At 38.2% G+C, this 19669-nt stretch overlaps 1 protein-coding gene across 1 annotated transcript; it reads left to right on the top strand.

Annotated features, from left to right (window-relative positions):
* Positions 1–9359: 9359 nt before the first annotated feature.
* Positions 9360–15382, top strand: OR5P3 (olfactory receptor family 5 subfamily P member 3). Its single transcript, NM_153445.2, has 2 exons — positions 9360–9376; positions 14207–15382. Exon 2 carries the CDS (start codon positions 14228–14230, stop codon positions 15161–15163), a length of 936 nt encoding a protein of 311 aa, NP_703146.1. The 5' UTR covers positions 9360–9376; positions 14207–14227; the 3' UTR covers positions 15164–15382.
* The last annotated feature ends 4287 nt before the right edge of the window (positions 15383–19669 follow it).

The raw sequence follows: 19669 nt of genomic DNA, 5'->3' as shown, positions 1-19669 counted from the left end.
ATGTGTAACCTCGGTATTCAACCCACAAAGTGGTCAATAAGCGTATGAAAAGCTACATTATCTTGGGAAGAACCAGAGAAATGAGGTACCATTTTACATCTAAGATGGATGCTGTGGTATGCTGTCCACAGCATTCTGGGATTGAACCATTTTCCCCATTGCTCTTCTGGCAATTGTCTTTGGGTGAAGTAGGTCATTCCCCCTTGCTCCAATTTGAGGCTAGTCGATGCACTGGCATAAAGGCCCAAACACATTGCTTAAGTTGGAAACCACTTGCAGGGCCATCCCAGTGACTGTGTTCCCTGTGAGATCTGCTGAAGCCGTTGCTGTGATTGCACTGTAGGCCAGCTTCTCTCTCTACCTAATTCTGCTTCAGTGTTTACAGGAGTGAATGCTGAGAACACTTCCTAATAAATATCTTATATACAAATCTCTATCTCAGACTGCTTCTCAGCTATAACAAAATACCGTAGACTGGATAGATTAACCTGTTAATCTGTTATTATTCACAGTTCACAGTTCTGGAGACTGTGAAGTCCAAAGTCAAGATACTGGCAGATTTGGTGTCTCAGGAAGGCTCACTTCCTGGCTTGTAGGCAGTCACCTTCTTACTATGTCCTCCTAGGGCTTTTCTTTGGTGCAAGCTTGAGAGAGAGAGAGATAGAGAGAGAGAGAGAGAGAGAGAGAGAGATCAGTTTCCTTCTTATAAGGGCGCTAATACCATCAAATCACCAGGATCCTACCATCATGATCTAATAGAAACAAAATTACTTCCCAAAGGCCTCACTTTCAAATTCCATCACATTGGGGGTTAGAGCTTCAACGTGTGATTTTTTGAAGGGACACATTCAGCTCATAACAGGTAGTAAAAAATATAATATAAAATTGGAGTTTGGAGCTGGATCACCCACCAGCTGGCTGGAAATGAGGACTCCATCACTGGTGGTAAGTGGAGTTTGAGCAGCCCTTAGTGCTATAATTATTAACACTTTATCCGGTGGTAAATAGGGATGACATACTAGTAGAAAAGAAGGCACTGGCAGATTAAATGTATTAAGTATTTGAGACATAAAAGGGAAATAGTAATTATAAGGGCAATGGAATTGGATGTCTGTTGTAGAAACAGTAGAGGGTTTTGAGAAAGACTTTGAAAGGCTGAAGTTGATTAATTACCAACTAAAAGTTAAATTTGAGAGCCACAGTCCCTCCTTATAGCATTTGGAGTCTAGCATCTCCTGTAGCCTGTAACGTAAAAGGCTAGGAATCAGGCTTAAGACTTGATTATGAGAGAAGTAGACATTATGTTAGAATTTTAAGCCACTGCAGCTTGACTACTAAGTTCAAGATCTTAATTAGGAAAGAATGAGACACTGAGTCATGGAATAGGGGTATCTGTGTTGATGCATTTAAAAATCTTGAATCACTAGATTCTTCTAAACCCTCTGGATTCTTCCCTGTTAAATGTTTGTGTTCCACCCGTAGATAAAGATAAAACAGAGGATGCTATCTTGCAAAACAACATATGTTCTCCTTAAACTCTGTCCCTACCTTTTCTTAACCACTTGATTATAACTAAGGGTAAATCATAACATAACCTAACAGGGAAAAGGCTGAGTCTGCTATGGGAGCTGTAGGACCTAGTCAACATGTAGAATCAGGAGCTGAAAAGAGTACATGCTGAATCAAAGGGTCAGACATCAAATTGGATAAGAGATAATTTATCAGTGTTGGAGCCCTCTCCCTTACTATAGGATTTAATATCTTGGTAAAGATCACAGCATATGATGCAAAGAAGCTGCTACGATGGCTTTTAGAAACTTGCAGAAATTGGTGACGCACACTAAGTAGAAATGTCAGAACTGCTGTGGAAGACAGTAGAAGGAGGGATAGAAAAGCTTAGAGAAGAGCACTTGCTAGAATAAATACGTGAAAATGAAAAGTCCACCAGATAACTAGGCTCCATATAAGGTCCCAGAGGACATTCTGTTTACTAAACAAAAGGAATATGCTGGTGAGAAGGACACCAATGTCACTGAGAAGCTCAGTGGTGGCTATCCTCTGTAGGATAGGGCTGATTGTAATGATGTCATTACAGAAGTGAACCTTTGATAGAAATGGAGATGATATGGCATCAGAATAAAAGTAAATGATGTTTCTGAGATAAGACAAATGGGTAGACAACAACAACATGCTCAATCTACACAATTAAAAGAAATCAAGGATAGAGATTAGAGGGGGGTGATTATAGCTGCTCAAACAAAAACAGGTGATCTCTTGCCCAGTTTCCACACCTGAACCAGTTTTCAGACTCAGAGCCCTCTGACTGAAGAAGAGGCCAGGACCTATGATCAAGGACCCTGAAAGTGCAGTTATATATATATTTTTGCCTTTGGCCAGTGGAGTTATATATATATAGCCTTTCCTCAAAGAGAACTATGGTCATTACTGGAGTAACTAAATCCTGGGGAAACAGAAATATCCAAACTTATCAAGGCTTATAACATGCGAAATTTGAATTGACATTGACACCTATGACCTAAAGCTTCATCGTGGCCACTTTTAGGGTATAGGAGGGCCAGATAATAAATGGGATCCAGGGCCTATGTATGTCCATGAATGCATGGACCCATCCAGTGCTATTTCTTTGTTCTCAAAAGGTATATGGAATGAACAAAATGGTAGAATAGTAGTAATGGGCAGAATATCCACATTGATTTATTAGCTTTAAGAGCCATCATAGTAGTGAAGCCTGAGTGGAAGCCTCTGAAACTGCCCATTTCCTGGCCAAATTACTAAAAAATAAAAATCTAATCTCAAAGGGAAATGGCAGATATCAATGCCATCTTTAAGAACCTAATGATACTAGGGTGGTGGTATCATTAGGTTCTTAAAGGTTTCGTTTAATTCACCAGTGTAGTTCCTACAAAAACCGGAAAGATCCTACAAATTCAACAAAGCATTAACCCCAAATGCAGCTGCTGTGCTACATGTGTGGTATCTTTGCTTAGAGATTATTACAGCCTCAAATACGTGGTATGGGGCAATTGATCTGGCAAATACCTTCTTTTCCATTCCTTATCAGAAAGAATGATTGTGGAATAGATTATATATATATATATATATATATATATATATATATATATATATATATATACAGATTTTATATATATATAAACAAACAGATTTTATATATATAAACAGATTATATATATATAAACAGATTTTATATATATATAAAATCTTTCTCAGAATTATGTTAACTTGATCACCCTTTGTCTTAAGATAATATTAGAATAATAGAAAGAGGGTTTATATCTTCTCAACTACCTATGAGGTAAAAAAATGGAGCAAAAGACCCATCCATGATGGAAAAATGGAAAAGGCAATTCGGTAGGTTGGTTTGAACTTGGAAGAGGAAGATTGAAAATAAATTCCTCTCAAAAGATATTACCAGGAAAAATTATAACAGAATAAAGAAAGCATAACAACATAAGAGAGTACAAAATAGATTTCAAGGTAAAAACTGTTAAAAGGGACAAAAAAGGATATTTCATATTAATATTTTATCCCAAGGTACAGTTGACTAAGAAGTGGTGAGGGAGGCTGGGTGCTGGGGCTCACGCCTGTAATCCCAGCACTTTGGGAGGCCGAGGCGGGCGGATCATGAGGCCAGGAGTTTGAGACCAGCCTGGCCAACATGGTGAAACCCTGTCTCTACTAAAAACACAAAAATTAGCTGGGTGTGGTGATGGGCACCTGTAATCCTTGTTACTCGGGAGGCTGAGGCAGGAGAATCGTTTGAAACCGGGAGGTGGAAGTTGCAGTGAGCAGAGATCGCGCCATTGTACTCCGGCCTGAGAGACAGGGCAAGACTCCGTCTCAAAAAAAAAAAAAAAAAGGTTGTGAGGGAGTTATAAATACAGGCTTCAGAACCAGACTACAGCGCTAACATTCAAATCCCAGTCTCAGCATTTTCTGTGTGATTTCAGGTAGATTTTTTTAACTTCTCTGTGTTCATTTTACTTTGAGGACCAGAGAGTCTTTTTGATATACTTTAAGCAAACACACATACACATATTATATGTATATAGATATAGATTTAGATATATATGATCTGTCATGGGAAGGCTTGGGCTTCTGAGTGAATTTAGAATGCCATTACAGAAAGTTAACTTATAAAAAAATTCCTGTTTATTTCTTCTGTAGCACTTATAATTGGTCATTATGTTATCATGCATTTGTTTATAGTTTACTATCTGCCTTACCTACTAAAATATAAGCTCCATGAGGGCAGGAACCTTGTCTGCCTAGTTCATTATTTTATCCTGAGTGCCTAGAAGAGAGTTTGAAACACTGTTAATGTTCAATAAATATCTGCCAAATGAATGAATGAATGAATAATTAAAATACTTTGTGGTCCAAGTAAGGTATTACTTCAAGACTTTGGGTTACAATAATAGAAAGTGACAATACATGTTTCAGGATCCTCCCAGTCTTCCCTCTGAAATACTCATGAAAATGGATGCACATATCTCATTAGCTCTGTGAATAGTAAGGTTGGTCAATGATCTTGACTCCAGAATGAATTTCTACTAACCGGCTCATCTAAACATCTAGACAGAACAGACGGGACTCTGCATACAGTGATATTTCATCCATGCATTTGGAAACGATAAGAGCAGTGGATCACAAAGTTACCTGGATATCAAAATCACCTGAGGAGTCTTTATAAATCCCAGTGCACGGGCCATACCCTATACCAATTAAAACAGAATCTTTGGGAAAGGGTTCAGGCAGTATTCTTTTAATTTTTCCATGTTGTTCTGATATTCAGCCAAGATTGAGAACACTGAGGTCGTGATTCTTAAACTTTGGTGTGGATCAGAATCACATGGAGGGTTTACTAAAACACCAGGAATATTCCTTTCAAAAAGGAGTAAAACACAGAGGAGCTCCAGACTATGCACAAGGATATAAGTAGGGAGAGAAGCCAGGCTAGTTTATTCCTGTTTCTATTCCAATACCTCTTCCAAAGGAAGAGGCAGCAGTGATCGAGGTGTCTGTCTCTAAGCAGAAACAGTGCTTTGGGCAGAGTCGAGGTATGGTAGTAAAACCCAGAAGACAGGTGGCTGAGGTACCTTTCCTAGCTGTTCATCTTACCTATTTCCCTGCCTAACGAAACAGGGAGCAGTACCACTGTCTTTGCACCTTTCCCATGTAAGAATCAGTGGGCAGTTCAGCAGAAAATCCCCATTATAAAAATGCACTTATAGTAACCCGCCCCCCAAATCTTTTAGGATTACTAGAATCACAAAATAAGAGAGACAAATTCAAAAGACAACAGCAAAATAAAAACAAAAACCAGAAGTAAAGAAAAGAAAAAAGGCAACAGAACATAAATCCAAGTAAAGAGAGTTTGTAAAGCTATCATGATAAAATTCACATTAAAATAAATATAATCTTTTTAATGATTCAGGAGAAAGTGCTATATAAAAATAAGAAAATATGATTATGAAACGTTAAGAATAAGTTATAAAAACATATTAGAGACTTTGGAAATGTAAGAGTATATCATGGGCTTGTTTCAGAAGCTGAACATATGGGGACATTTTATCTTTTTAATGTCCACATAGTAATCCATAGGATGAAGGTGCCATCATTTTTTCAACAATTCTTTTGTTGATGCACACTAGACACTGCAATTTTTCTGCTGTTTAAGCAATCATGTGATGAACATCTTTTTGTATATGTATTTTTTCAGGTTATTATTACCTCTAGGATTAATTCCTCAAAGTGAAATTTTGGAGTACAGCACTTGAAATTTTAAATAAAATTTGCCACGATATTTTCCAAAAGTTTTTAGAAAATTCATATATTTTTCATAATGTATAAAAGTACCTTTTCCCCCTGTAATTTGCTAGTACCAGATACATACAATCATTTGAATGTTGGCTTACTGTGATCTAGCCTCAGTGGCTTATTCTTCTCGTGGATTTTGCATTACTCAAATTTAAAGGGAGTAAAACCTCCTTGAAAAGCTTTCCCCCTAAACCTTTACATGGTTTACTTCCTTATTTCATTCATATATATGATTTATTGTTATCTCCCAACACTAGAATACTAGAATGTAAGTTCTATGAGTTCAGTGATTTTTTTTCTGATTTGTTTATCACTACATCCCAAGGAAGCTTGGGATATAGTAGTATTCAGTGCATATTTTGGAATGAATGAATAAATGAATTCATTTGACAAATACCCTGGGACCTCTGGAGAGAGTGATCATTTGTTATCATGTGTATTAGTTTCCTGTGGCTATTGTAACAAATTACTATGAATTTGGAAGCTTAAAATAACAGAAACTTATTATTTCACAGTTCTGGAGGCCAGAAGTCTAAAATAAGTATCACTGGGCAAAAATCAAGGTGGCAACAGAGCCATACTCCCTCTGGAGGCTCCAAGGTGGAATCCATTTCCTGTGTCTTCCAGCTTCTGCTGGCTTCTGGCATTCCTTTGCTGTGGCCAAACCACTCCAATCTCTTTCTCTTTGGTCACATTGCCTTCTCCTTCTCTGTTTGTGTCACATTCTCCCTCTGTCTCTCTCTTATAATGATACTTGTGATTGCTTTTAGGGCCCACCCAGACAATCTAGGATAATCACTCCATTACTCCATTTTAAGATTCTTAATCACATATGCAAAGGCCATTTTTAAAGTAAGGTAACATTTATAGATTCCATGGATTGGGGCCTGATATCTTTGGGGGCCATTATTCAGTCTGCTACAGTCTTCTCTCTGGCCCCCAGTGATTTATGTTCATTCCACGGTAAAATGTGTTCATCCCACCTCCAAATCCTCAAAAGCCTCAACCCAACACAGCATCAACTAAAGCCCAAAATATCATCTAAATATCATCAGCTTGAAAGTCCTAAATCTCATTATCTAAATTACCTAAATCAGATATAGGTAGGATACTGTGTATGATCCATCCTGGGGCAAAATTTCTCTCCATCTGTGGACCTGTGAAACAAGAAGACAAGATATCTGTTCCCCAAATATAATGATGATACAGGCATCATGATGTAACAGTAATAGACATTTACATTCTAAAAGGGGGGAAGTGGAAGGAGGGAAAAGGTCATCAGACCCAAGCAATTCTGAAGTTCATCAGGGCAAACACGGCATTTCAAGGCCTATGAATAACACTTAGTGACTCAATGCTCCATGCTCTGGGTCTGAGACTAATATTTTCTGTGTGCACTGCTCCAACCTCTGCACCATGGCTCTAAATCCTAGACCCAAGGCTCCAGCTTTTGGGCCAAAGGGTTTGTTCTTGAAGTTATCCTTTCTTTTTCTTGATAGGTAGCACATATTTGTAGCTGATTAGTTTTATCAGCCTTTTCCTGCTTGTAGAATTTTATGAGTCTTACAGCCTTCTTTCATTTTGTTCTGTCTCTGTCCCTTTAGCACAAGCTGGTGGTGTTTCTGAAACTATATCATTTTTGAAAACCTGGTTCTCCCATGTATGTTATGACTATTCACATCATTAGACAAGAGGGTCCTTCACCTTTAAGTAATTTGTTCTCACATTTTAATACATTGAGTAAACAACAATAGGCTGTACCTTCAAAACTTTGTAAATCTGCTTATCTAAACATCCAAGTTCATCACTTACAAGTTCTGCTTTCCATGTAACTGTAGGTCAAAATTAAGCTAGACTTTCTGTCACTATCTAACAAGGATAACTTTTTCTCCAGTTTCAAAACAGCATGTTCCTTGTTTCTGTTTGAGCCCTCACCCAGCAAAGTGAACTAAAACACATGACCCAGCTCTATGCTGTCTACAAGAAAGTCACTTCAAATATAATAATAGAGGCAAATTGAAAGTAAAATAATGGGTCAGGTGTGATGGCTCACACTTGTAATCCCAGCACTTTGGGAGGCTGTGGTGGTTGGATCACGAGGCCAGGAGTTTGAGACCAGCCTGGCCAATGTGGTGATACCCCATCTCTACTAAAAATACAAAAATTAGCTGGGCGTGGTGGCAGGCGCCTGTAATCCCAGCTACTCGGGAGGCTGAGGCAAAAGAATCTCTTGAACTCGAGAGGTGGAGTTTGCAGTGAGCCGAGATTGTGCCACTGCACTCCAGCCTGGGTGACAGAGCAAGACTCCATCTCAAAAAAACCAAAACAAAATCCAAAAAAGAAAGTAAAATAATGAAAAAGACATAGCATGTAAATATTAATCAAAAGAAAAGCAGTAGCTATATTAATATTGAATAACGTAGACTTCAGAGCAAAGAAAATTACTAGAGGCAGAAAGGGATGTTACATAATAATAAAATACTTGAAATTATAAAAATGTAGAAACAGAGAACATATTAGAGGATTCCTGAAGTTAAGGAAGGGATGGGGATGGGACAGAAGTTGTTGTGGCTATGAAAGAGTAATGTGAGGGGTTATTGTGCTCATGGAAATGTTCTGTATCTTGACTGTATCACTGCCAGTATCCTCGTTGTGATATTACACTACAGTTTTTCAAAATGCGTTCATTGGAAGAAATTGGGTAGAGGGCATATAAGATCTCTCTGTATTAATTTCATTTCTTAAAACTGCATGTAAATCTACAATAATCTCAAAGTAAAAAGTTTAATTAAAAAATAAAGGTAGTATCATCTAGAAACATACAGAAAACATAAACATTTATTTTTTCCCAGAAGAATTTTTATTTTGAAGAGAAATTACTCTGGTACACTGTACTCTTGCTTATTCCTATAAATCTCAATATAGTTACAGGGGATTTAGCAGTTCATCAAAAAGTTTTATTTAAAAATTCTAATGCATACTAAAAATAAATAAATTTACAGATGTTTTTAGACTTTTTTTTTTCAGTTGAGGTCTTGCTTAGTTGCCCAGGCTGGAGTACAGTGGTGCAATTCTAGCTCACTGCAGCCTCAAACTCCTGACTTCAATCAATCTTCCCATTTCTGCCTCCTGAGTAGTTGAGACTACAGGCATGAGCCATGACACCTGGCTAATTTTACTTTTATTTATTTATATTTTTTTTTTGTAGAGATGGGGTCTTGTTATGTTGCCCAAACTTGTCTGAACTCTTGGCCTCAAACAATTCTCCCACCTTGGCCTTCCAAAGTGCTGGGATTACAAGTGTGAGCCACCATGCCCAGCAGCAACACATATTTTTATGAGCATATGTACCTGTAATTTCCATTGTCTTGATGAATTTTCAGTGAAATTTTTATAAACAAGTAGTGTACTCAAGAGGCTATATCCCAAAGGACCCCAAATCTCATAAATATCACCTTCCTATACAGTGACAGTTCTTTGCAATTTGTTATTATTGCTGATGTACATTCATCTGCAGGTAATAATTTCCCTTTTCTATTGATACAGGAATGTTTGTTTCTCATTTTTGTATTAGAAGTTAAGGTATAGTTTTTTAAAGGAAATAATCATTTGTTGAACATTCACTTATTTCTATGATCCATACTTGGTATTATCATGTACATCATCTTATTCAACACAAGAATCATGTGAAGTATTTTTTTAAACAAATAACGTAATGAAGAGTTGAACAGTTTATGTAAAATTTCCAAGATTCCATAGATTGCTGGTGACAAAGCTGAATCTAATCCCAGGGCCGTATGTCTCCAAAGCTCATGGCATTTCTGTCCAACACATTGCTTCCATGCCATAATAGCATGTATAACTGACTCTGAATTTCTATTATACACATCTATCTTTTCTAAAATTTTAAGCATTCATTCATTCTTGGGTCCATGCCACTTAATAAAGCCCTGTACAAAGATAAGGAAGATAGGACTTCAGAGTTCAAACATGTAATTGCATGGTGTTCTTAACATAGCATGATATTGATCAGTTAATTCAGACGTGAAATTATTCAAGCATCTCAGTTCAGAATAAAAGTGTGAAAATAATGTGGCTGGATGAGCACATGACTTTGATGCCAGTGTGTGTGTGTGTATGCATGTGGTGTGTGTGTGAGAGAGAGAAAGAGACAGCAGTGCATGTGTGCAAGAGCGTTCAGTCTGCTTGAGAGCAAATTCTTTAAAGAAAAATACATTATTCCTTAATTTTGGTTGATCTTTAAAGAGAGAATTATGGGAATTTTTGTGGTTGCTATTGTTGAGGAGCAATAAAGAATGGAAGTTTCCAAGAGTAAATAAACCTTATATTAAATGATGTAGGAAAACATTGAATTATCTTAATTTTCTTCCATAGAAGAAGATATCATTGATAAAAATGGAATTAAATTGTTGACATGTGAAATAAAAATTCCCTCTTTTATCTTATCAGCTATAGCACCTCTTTTGGCTCCCTCTGTATGGTCTGCCTTTCATATTCCTCTGCCTTTCATTCATTCCTCTCTACTTTTTTAAAAAAACACTTTTGCTTCTCTTTTTTCTTAATTCTAATAGAGGCATCAATTGGATACTTAAGATACATAGAAGCAAAGAGCAAAGTGTTTGCAGACTCCAGAGTGAAAGCAATCTATTGAGAAAGTTCACGCATTATCTTCATATGGATGTGTAGAGTATAGACTATAGTGGATTAATTTACTATGCTGAATCCTAGAATATCATTTTAAAATGTCACAGCATCACATTAGCTCAGGTAGACCTGTAATTCCTGAATCTCTTTCATAGTGCTGTCACCAATTTGCAGCCCATTCCAACTGGGCACAATTGTGACTGCTTGATGATTCTCCCATGTATTGAGCAGTTATTTTGTGTATCCTCAGACTTCTAAAAAGCACTGGAGTAGTAAAAAAAAAAATAAGATAAAAGTTAATTTCCTTCAGGAGCCATTTCTTGCCCAAGATAAATTGCTTATGTTCCTTCATTCACTTTAAAACTCTGTATCTTCTGTTTCTCTTTACTCATATTCCCAACCAATCAACATGGAATTTCTGTATCAGCAACCCTATTTTTGTAGCAGCCACTGCAACATTCTTCCCCATCTTGCTGATGCCCTTTGGTGCATATTGGTCTTTCTATGCTGTAATCCCAACTTCTATTACCCAAAAAGGTTGCTTTTTCATAAAGTCATGAGACCCTACAAATACAGACACAAATATATATTTTCAAATATTTTTTCATATTTATGATGAAGCATACATTTTATTTTTATGGTAATTTTTCTCTCCTTCATAAAAATCAACTTCTCATTTTGGAAATTTTCTTTCTTATATCTCCACGTTCAGTTTAAACATTTTGTATAATATCTGTTCATCTTCATTCTTCCCTGTCCTAGTAAGATGTTCTCTATTTCTAGCCAATTTTTTGAAACCCTATATGAAATAACAGCATAGGTAGAGATGAAAGTCTTGACAGACCATATGTAATATTCCAGATGCATACTCCATAAAAGTAACCATGACTAGCAATGGCAGTTTTGGATCTACGTGAAGTCACCACTGCAGTAATCTCAGAAATGACTATCACCAGAATCCAGTTTTTTTGTTTTTTTAACTCCAGGATTTTTGACCCTTTGATTTTACCTACTAGTGTTTCTCATTGGTTTTAAATTCTTCAATAGGGATGACTTTTCCTTGGGTGAGATACTGGGATTGCCTCAAAACTGTTAAGTCACTCCAGGTCAGCTGAGTTGTTTACCTATTACCCCTTCCTCACAATCTTCACAACTTTGGGATTAGCTTTCACCCTCCCTTCTGCTATTCAGCAATTAAATTGTAGCAACTAATGTATGTTAGACAATTGTGTGTATTATCTTCTGTACTCTCTCTCTCAGAATGCCATCTCTATTCAGCTGGAGCTAAGAAAGGTTATTTTCAAGTATCCAAGCCTTCTCTTGAATCAAGAGGTCCCATATCCATCTCTTTTTAACTCTTGAAGCCTTTTTCCTGTGCCCTTCTGCAGTCACAGTTATCAACAAAATTTCTTATGTCCTCAGTATTGGTTTTGAACATTCCATTTCCCTTACTGTCCTTTTCAACAGACACTTGGCTGTCCCTGAGGACAATGTTTTCTCTGCAGCCTTCTCAAATGATGAACTTTTTTTTCTCTTACCACTTTTACCCCGAACCTGGTGATGGATAGGATCTTCCATTTCCCTTGTTGCTGCTTGTGGACATTCTCTCTCCTTCCTACCTACAAATACCCATAGTTGAGTTTTATGTCATCAGACTATACTAACCAATCTTACCTTTCTCTCCTTATGCATTTGCAGTCATCAACTGGCTAGCATCATGTCTCCGCATCTTTGGAAGATTTTTGGCTCTGGCTCACTCATTTTCTTACATTATTTCTGTCACTATTCCTGGTGGCTTTAATACCTCCACATAGAGGTTGCTTTCAACATTTTGGCTTCTTAGTTTCTTGACATATCTTCAAAAAAAATTTGTTTTCCTCCCTAAAACCTGTCTCTCCCGTTGTTAGAGTTTAGACATTAGCATTTGCCAATAACTGTAGCTTTTCCGTAATCTCATTTTTAAGCACCCCAAACTGTAACTACCATCATTTCTTGTTTTTCCTGCTTGTTTTCACTGGTAGAATAATTATAGCAAATTTTCAATCCTTGCAGAAAGGCTAGAACCATTTTGTTGATTTTACCCATCTCAGGTACTCACTTCATCTTTGCCTAGCTTAAATGTAGTGGTTATTTTACTCTCTACCTTGCATATACCCTAACATTCCATATCTGTCCCTTTCGTTGCTCAGAAAAAAGAAAATCTTAGTGAAATTTGACCCCTCATCTATCAGGCACTCACAACTGTTCAGCTGAAAACAAAAGCATATCAATTCCCTAGGTGCTGGGCACTGAAGGAGACTATCACCTGCCTCAAAGAATTGTCGTTATCTCTCAGCCGCATCTTTATGTGAATTACTGCACTGCAAAATTCCCCTTTCAAGAGTAAATGTATTATTTATATGTTAGCATAATTTTAAAACCTTTTTAAATATGTAATGAACCAAATATACTTTCTGATAGTCTATAGTCTTCTTTAGAAATCATAGAAAAGATGTATAATATGTGAAATAAAGATAGTAAATGAATTAGAAGTCCAAGAATATGGTTCTTCATTTTAGCTCAGTTTCCAGAAAGCCATTTGATCTAAAGTTATGTTGGACAATGGTGTGTATTATCTATCTTTTTTAGATCTCCGTTTATAATTTTATAAAGTGAGAGAATCGAGTGGATTATTTCTAGGACCTTTTGAAGCTGTGAGAAAGCTCTCCTGCTTTTCTTGCATTTTCTTGATTTTTCTCAAGCGAGTTGGTATGGAGGAGGGCCTTCCAGAAGGTGACCTACAGATGCAATTTTTTTCAGACAGCAACTATTCAGATAGGGCTGGATATTTGTGTTCTGTAGAAGGCTGGAATCTTCTGTTAGCAACCTAGCCCCAGCTTATGCAGAGTCTTGGGTATAAGTTGTATCTTTGGAGCCTTCCAGGAGTAACCTGATCATGTCTTCTCTAGATTGGCTCACTATCATGAATCAGATAGCTTGATCCTGAGATAATTAGGAGATATCTCATCTCCTCTTTCAAACCTCAGTCTTCCTCTGTTTACTTGTTTATAGTGTGAGTGCATTACTTCACCTTCTGCCTCGGTCCAGACTTCCTGGATATTTGGTGTACTTTTCCTCAATTGTGAAATCTCTGGGTGGGGACCACAGCTCAGTGTTGAGTTACTGACCTCTTCTTGGTCCTGTGGATTAGCATGCAGCTAATCTGTTTGACCTCTGTTTGGAATTCGGAATTCTTAATGACTACACATCTTTGATACAATAGATGATACCTCAAACATCCTTTTGAACAGCTGTTCTTTTCCATGAGTCTTGGTCTATTCTGACATTTATGTCTCCCTTCAATCACGTCTTTGGCCTTAGAAGATTGAGTTACTGGATTCTTTATATATTCTAGTGGTCATCTCTGAAATGTGCTCAGAGAGCACCTAAATTAACCATCCAATACGAGTTGAGTGTGTTAAGTTAAAAAAAAAAAAAGATTTTTCTGAGTATTCCTGACCTTACATCAGTGAACATTTATGTTTTAAAGTCTTACATAAGATACTGTGTGTGAAAGCATTTTCTTCCCAAATTTACATGAGTGCCTAAATTGTTATACTTTTTGGTTAAATAGATATTGGAAAAATAAGTGTGCAATTATAGCATTTAATCCCATTATAATATTCATTTGTTTTTCTTTCAGTTGGCACCATTCCCAATATAGATGGGGACTGGAAATGACACCACTGTGGTAGAGTTTACTCTTTTGGGGTTATCTGAGGATACTACAGTTTGTGCTATTTTATTTCTTGTGTTTCTAGGAATTTATGTTGTCACCTTAATGGGTAATATCAGCATAATTGTATTGATCAGAAGAAGTCATCATCTTCATACACCCATGTACATTTTCCTCTGCCATTTGGCCTTTGTAGACATTGGGTACTCCTCATCAGTCACACCTGTCATGCTCATGAGCTTCCTAAGGAAAGAAACCTCTCTCCCTGTTGCTGGTTGTGTGGCCCAGCTCTGTTCTGTAGTGACGTTTGGTACGGCCGAGTGCTTCCTGCTGGCTGCCATGGCCTATGATCGCTATGTGGCCATCTGCTCACCCCTGCTCTACTCTACCTGCATGTCCCCTGGAGTCTGCATCATCTTAGTGGGCATGTCCTACCTGGGTGGATGTGTGAATGCTTGGACATTCATTGGCTGCTTATTAAGACTGTCCTTCTGTGGGCCAAATAAAGTCAATCACTTTTTCTGTGACTATTCACCACTTTTGAAGCTTGCTTGTTCCCATGATTTTACTTTTGAAATAATTCCAGCTATCTCTTCTGGATCTATCATTGTGGCCACTGTGTGTGTCATAGCCATATCCTACATCTATATCCTCATCACCATCCTGAAGATGCACTCCACCAAGGGCCGCCACAAGGCCTTCTCCACCTGCACCTCCCACCTCACTGCAGTCACTCTGTTCTATGGGACCATTACCTTCATTTATGTGATGCCCAAGTCCAGCTACTCAACTGACCAGAACAAGGTGGTGTCTGTGTTCTACACCGTGGTGATTCCCATGTTGAACCCCCTGATCTACAGCCTCAGGAACAAGGAGATTAAGGGGGCTCTGAAGAGAGAGCTTAGAATAAAAATATTTTCTTGATGAAACTAGTTAGTTTGAAGAATCTGATATATTAATATTCTATATATAATAATAATAAGACACCGAGTGTTTGTGGTCAAAATTTATCTGTCCATAGACCATTACCCAGTGTGGAGCTTTTTAGTCAATCAGGAGGGAAGATTTTCAGATAGAATAGGAAATTAGAAGTCCATCTTGCTTTACCTTTAATAAAATTTAATTAAATTTATAATTGAGAATGCAAATAGTTTCACATGAAAAAAATGCTTTATCTGCTGAAAATCCTTTAAAAATTTTATTCTTATTTTTTCAAGAGTTGTTTTCTGCCATAAGTTAAGGCATACCTTTAAACCTTCAGACTGTGGCCATTGTCAACATCAGCTTATCCTGAGATACATGCCTGATATCTATAGTTGTTACTGAGTACATTGTGAGAGAAAATGACAAAGGAACCATAGTAAAATTGCTGGAGATATTCTTCTTCCAGAAAGGTTGCCTGCTGACAATGAGCTTGGGAGACCCACAACAATCTGGGCTGCGTTTCTATTCTCTGTCTCCAGCATGGTTATAGGGTCCCAGAGAAGAACCTGTTAGAGGCCCCTGACTAACCTATGAATTTCTCTGTCAGGTCAAAACCGGTGACTTCTGTGGGAATGAGCAGGGTTTCTGAACTCCTTAGAGACTGAGTGGAAAAAAAAATCAGGCAATAACTTCCAAGAGGAGAATCCAGCTTATAGTGTGACATTGTGGCTGTGAGGAACAACCTTTTGGAGTGACTCATTCATGGTCAGAGCCTCATCTTACTTAGGAAACTCAAGGGGACTAGACTGCCTCTCCTCTGAAAGTATGTCTGCCCCTGGAGAGGCTTAATCAACCTCTGCATGCTGACCACTACCAGATTTATTTCTCTTTCCTGTCCCCTCTTTAGTGTTTCAGACAACAATCCCAACATTCTGTCAATAGAATCATAGGGTATCAATCACTTCATTCATTTATTTTTTATTTTGTACATTCAAAAACTATATTTGAGGCCGGGCACGGTGGCTCATGCCTGTAATCCCAGAACTTTGGGAGGCCAAGGCAGTGGGATCACTTGAGGTTAGGAGTTCAAGACCAGCCTGACCAACATGGAGAAACCCTGTCTCTACAAATAATACAAAAAAAATTAGCCGGGCATGGTGATGGGCGCCTGTAATCCCAGCTACTCAGGAGGCTGAGGCACAAGAATCGCTTGAACCCAGGAGGCAGAGGTTGCAGTGAGCCGAGATGGCGCCATTGCACTGCAGCCTGGGCAACAAAAGCAAAACTCCTTCTCAAGAAAAATAATAATAATAAATAAATAAAGCTATATTTGGTGATTCTTATTTTATTTTATATATATTTTTTGAGATGGAGTCACGTTCTGTCACCCAGGCTGGAGTGCAGTGGCGTGATCTCGGCTCACTGCAAGCTCTGCCTCCTGGGTTCATGCCATTCTCCTGCCTCAGCCTCCAGAGTAGCTGGGACTACAGGCCAACCCGCCACCACATCCGGCTAATTTTTTGTATTTTTAGTAGAGATGGGGTATCATCTTGTTAGCCAGGATGGTCTCGATCTCCTGACCTCATGATCCGCCCACCTCACCCTCCCAAAGTGCTGGGATTACAGGCATGAGCCACTGCCGCCGGCCTATTTGGTGATCCTTGTAGGCACTGCCCTAGACGAGGATATAAGTGACTAATAGCCACAGATGTCTGTCGTGATGGAATTTGTCTTCTAACATAGGAGTCAGACAATAAAACTAACAAGTAAGTGATACCTACTATTAGAAGGGAATGAGTGCTATGGAGAAAGAAAAAGTGGAAGAGTACGTGGAAGGTTGATGTGCCAGGGGCAGGGAGGAGTCACTGCAGGTCTCACTGGGAACATAACATCTGAACAACTGCTGCCAAAGGTGAGGACAGTTCATGTTGAATATGGTGTTACCTGTGTAACAGCTCCAGGAGTCTAATCTTCACTCACACGCATGTAATTTACTTTTGAGGTTTCTGTTCCAACAGCGGCAGAATTGGTCATTTTAATCAGTGCCATGGTGAGTACAATTAAAACATGATAAAATGTTACATATATCTTAAATTTCACGTTAGAACTTATAGGATAATAAGGGATTGTCTTATCAGAAAGTGTGATAACCTAGAGAAGTAGGCCCAATACTCAAAAATGCTTTTGCCGAGAGAGAATTTGACAAGTCAGAAGATTGTTATTATCCTGAGCTGTAGCTTTAGTGTTCTTTTGGGATGAGAGGGCCACAAATCAAAGCCTATGGCATATCCAGGTGAGAAGTCTGATTTATACACCTCACATATATCCTCAGGATAAGGGAAAACCTGAAGTAACCAAGACTGGCACAGGTTAGCAGCCCTGGAGAGCTTGAGAAGCTCAGTGCTTGAATTTGAATATAACATGGTCAGGGACAGGTGGTCTGAGTCAGGGTGAACGGAATAAGCAAACAACAAACCCATACCTCAATGAGTCCTACTGGTAATTATTCAAAATCAGTAACCAACACACAGTGAAAAATAATGACCAACACAAAAGGAAACAAGGTACCAAGCATGAAAGCCAGTGGAAGCGACAGGCAACAGAAACAAAACTAAGAGTTAACATATGGAAATGAATAATTACAGACTATAATATTGCTTTGTTTCAAAATAAAAAGACTATTTGAAATGTGTACAATCACAGAAAACCAAAAATAATGACTAAATGTATGCAATTATTTAGAACATCATACTTGAAAAATTCACCACGCCAGTAGAGTTACACCAGGCATTTCTATTTGGTGAGCATAATCCTCATTGGTCTTCACATAGAAATCCCAAGCAGCAGCACAGGCAGAGGAGCCAGCCTACTTAGAAGCCTCATGACCTTAACTGGAATCAATATAGTCTACATAGTGTTTAGTATAGTGTTTAGTTCCAGGGTCCCTGCAAGGTTTTTACAGCAATAAGAATCACTGCACTCAAGGAAATATAAAGTATAAAATAGAATATACTGGCCCCCTGTATGGATAGAATTTACAATTAATCATTTTTGTCATAAACATTTTAGTGTTATATGTAACACACCTGACATTTAAGTTTTGTCTGAATTTAGGAGAAATAGGAAGTTCACTCATGGTAAAATTTATCCTTAAAGAAGTCAAAGGACATGGCACTGGGGGTCTTAAATGCAATACACTATTTACATAGAATTCTGAACAAATGCACTGTTTAGAATTCCATACTGAATCATAGGCAGGACTTAAGAGCCATGAATAATGTTATTTGGGAAATAGGCCCCTTCCTCTGTGTGTCAAGTATGGGGCTCTGAGAGAAATTTGTTTAGAAGACAACCTAGGCAATACCATTCAGGACATAGGCATGGGCAAAGACTTGATTGCTAAAACACCAAAAGCAACAGCAACAAAAGCCAAATATGACAAATGGGATCTAATTAAACTAAAGAGTTTCTGCATAGCAAAAGAAACTATCATCAGAGTGAAGAGGCAACCTACAGAATGGGAGAAAACTTTTGCAATCTATCCATCTGACAAAGGACTAATATCCAGAATTTACAAAGAACTTAAACAAATTTACAAGAAACAACCCCATCAAAAAGTGGGTGAAGGATATGAACAGACACTTCTCAAAAGAAGATATTTATGCAGCCAACAAAAGTAGGAAAAAAAACTCATCATCACTGGTCGTTAGAGAAATGCAAATCAAACCACAATGAGATACCATCTCATGCCAGTTAGAATGGTGATCATTAAAAAGTCAGGAAGGCTGGGTGCAGTGGCTCACACCTGTAATCCCAGCACTTTGGTAGGCTGAGGTGGGCAGATCACGAGGTCAGGAGATTGAGACCATCCTGGCTAACATGGTGAAACCCCGTCTCTACTAAAAATATAAGAAATTAGCCGGGCGTGGTTGCGGGCACCTGTAGTCCCAGCTACTCGGGAGGCTGAGGGAGGAGAATGCCGTGAACCTGGGAGGCAGAGCTTGCAGTGAGCCGAGATCGCACCACTGCACTGCAGCCTGGTGGACAGAGCAAAACTCCATCTCAAAAAAAAAAAAAAAAAAAAAAGTCAGGAAACAACAGATGCTGGAGAGGATGTGGAGAAATAGGAACACTTTTACACTGCTGGTGGGAGTATAAATTAGTTCAACTATTGTGGAAGACAGTGTGGTGATTCCTCAAGGATCTAGAAGTAGAAATACCATTTGACCCAGCAATCCCATTACTGAGTATATACCCAAAGGACTATAAATCGTGCTGCTATAAAGACACATGCACATGTATGTTTATTGCGGCACTATTCACAATAGCAAAGACACGGAACCAACCCAAATGTCCATCAATGATAGACTGGATTAAGAAAATGTGGCACATATACACCATGGAATACTATGCAGCCATAAAAAAGGATGAGTTCATGTCCTTTGCAGAGACATGGATGAGGCTGGAAACCATCATTCTCAGCAAACTAACACAAGAACAGAAAAC

This window comes from Homo sapiens, chromosome 11, assembly GCF_000001405.40.
Source record: "Homo sapiens chromosome 11, GRCh38.p14 Primary Assembly".
Lineage (NCBI taxonomy): Eukaryota > Metazoa > Chordata > Mammalia > Primates > Hominidae > Homo > Homo sapiens.
This window is presented reverse-complemented; position numbering and strand designations above follow the sequence as displayed.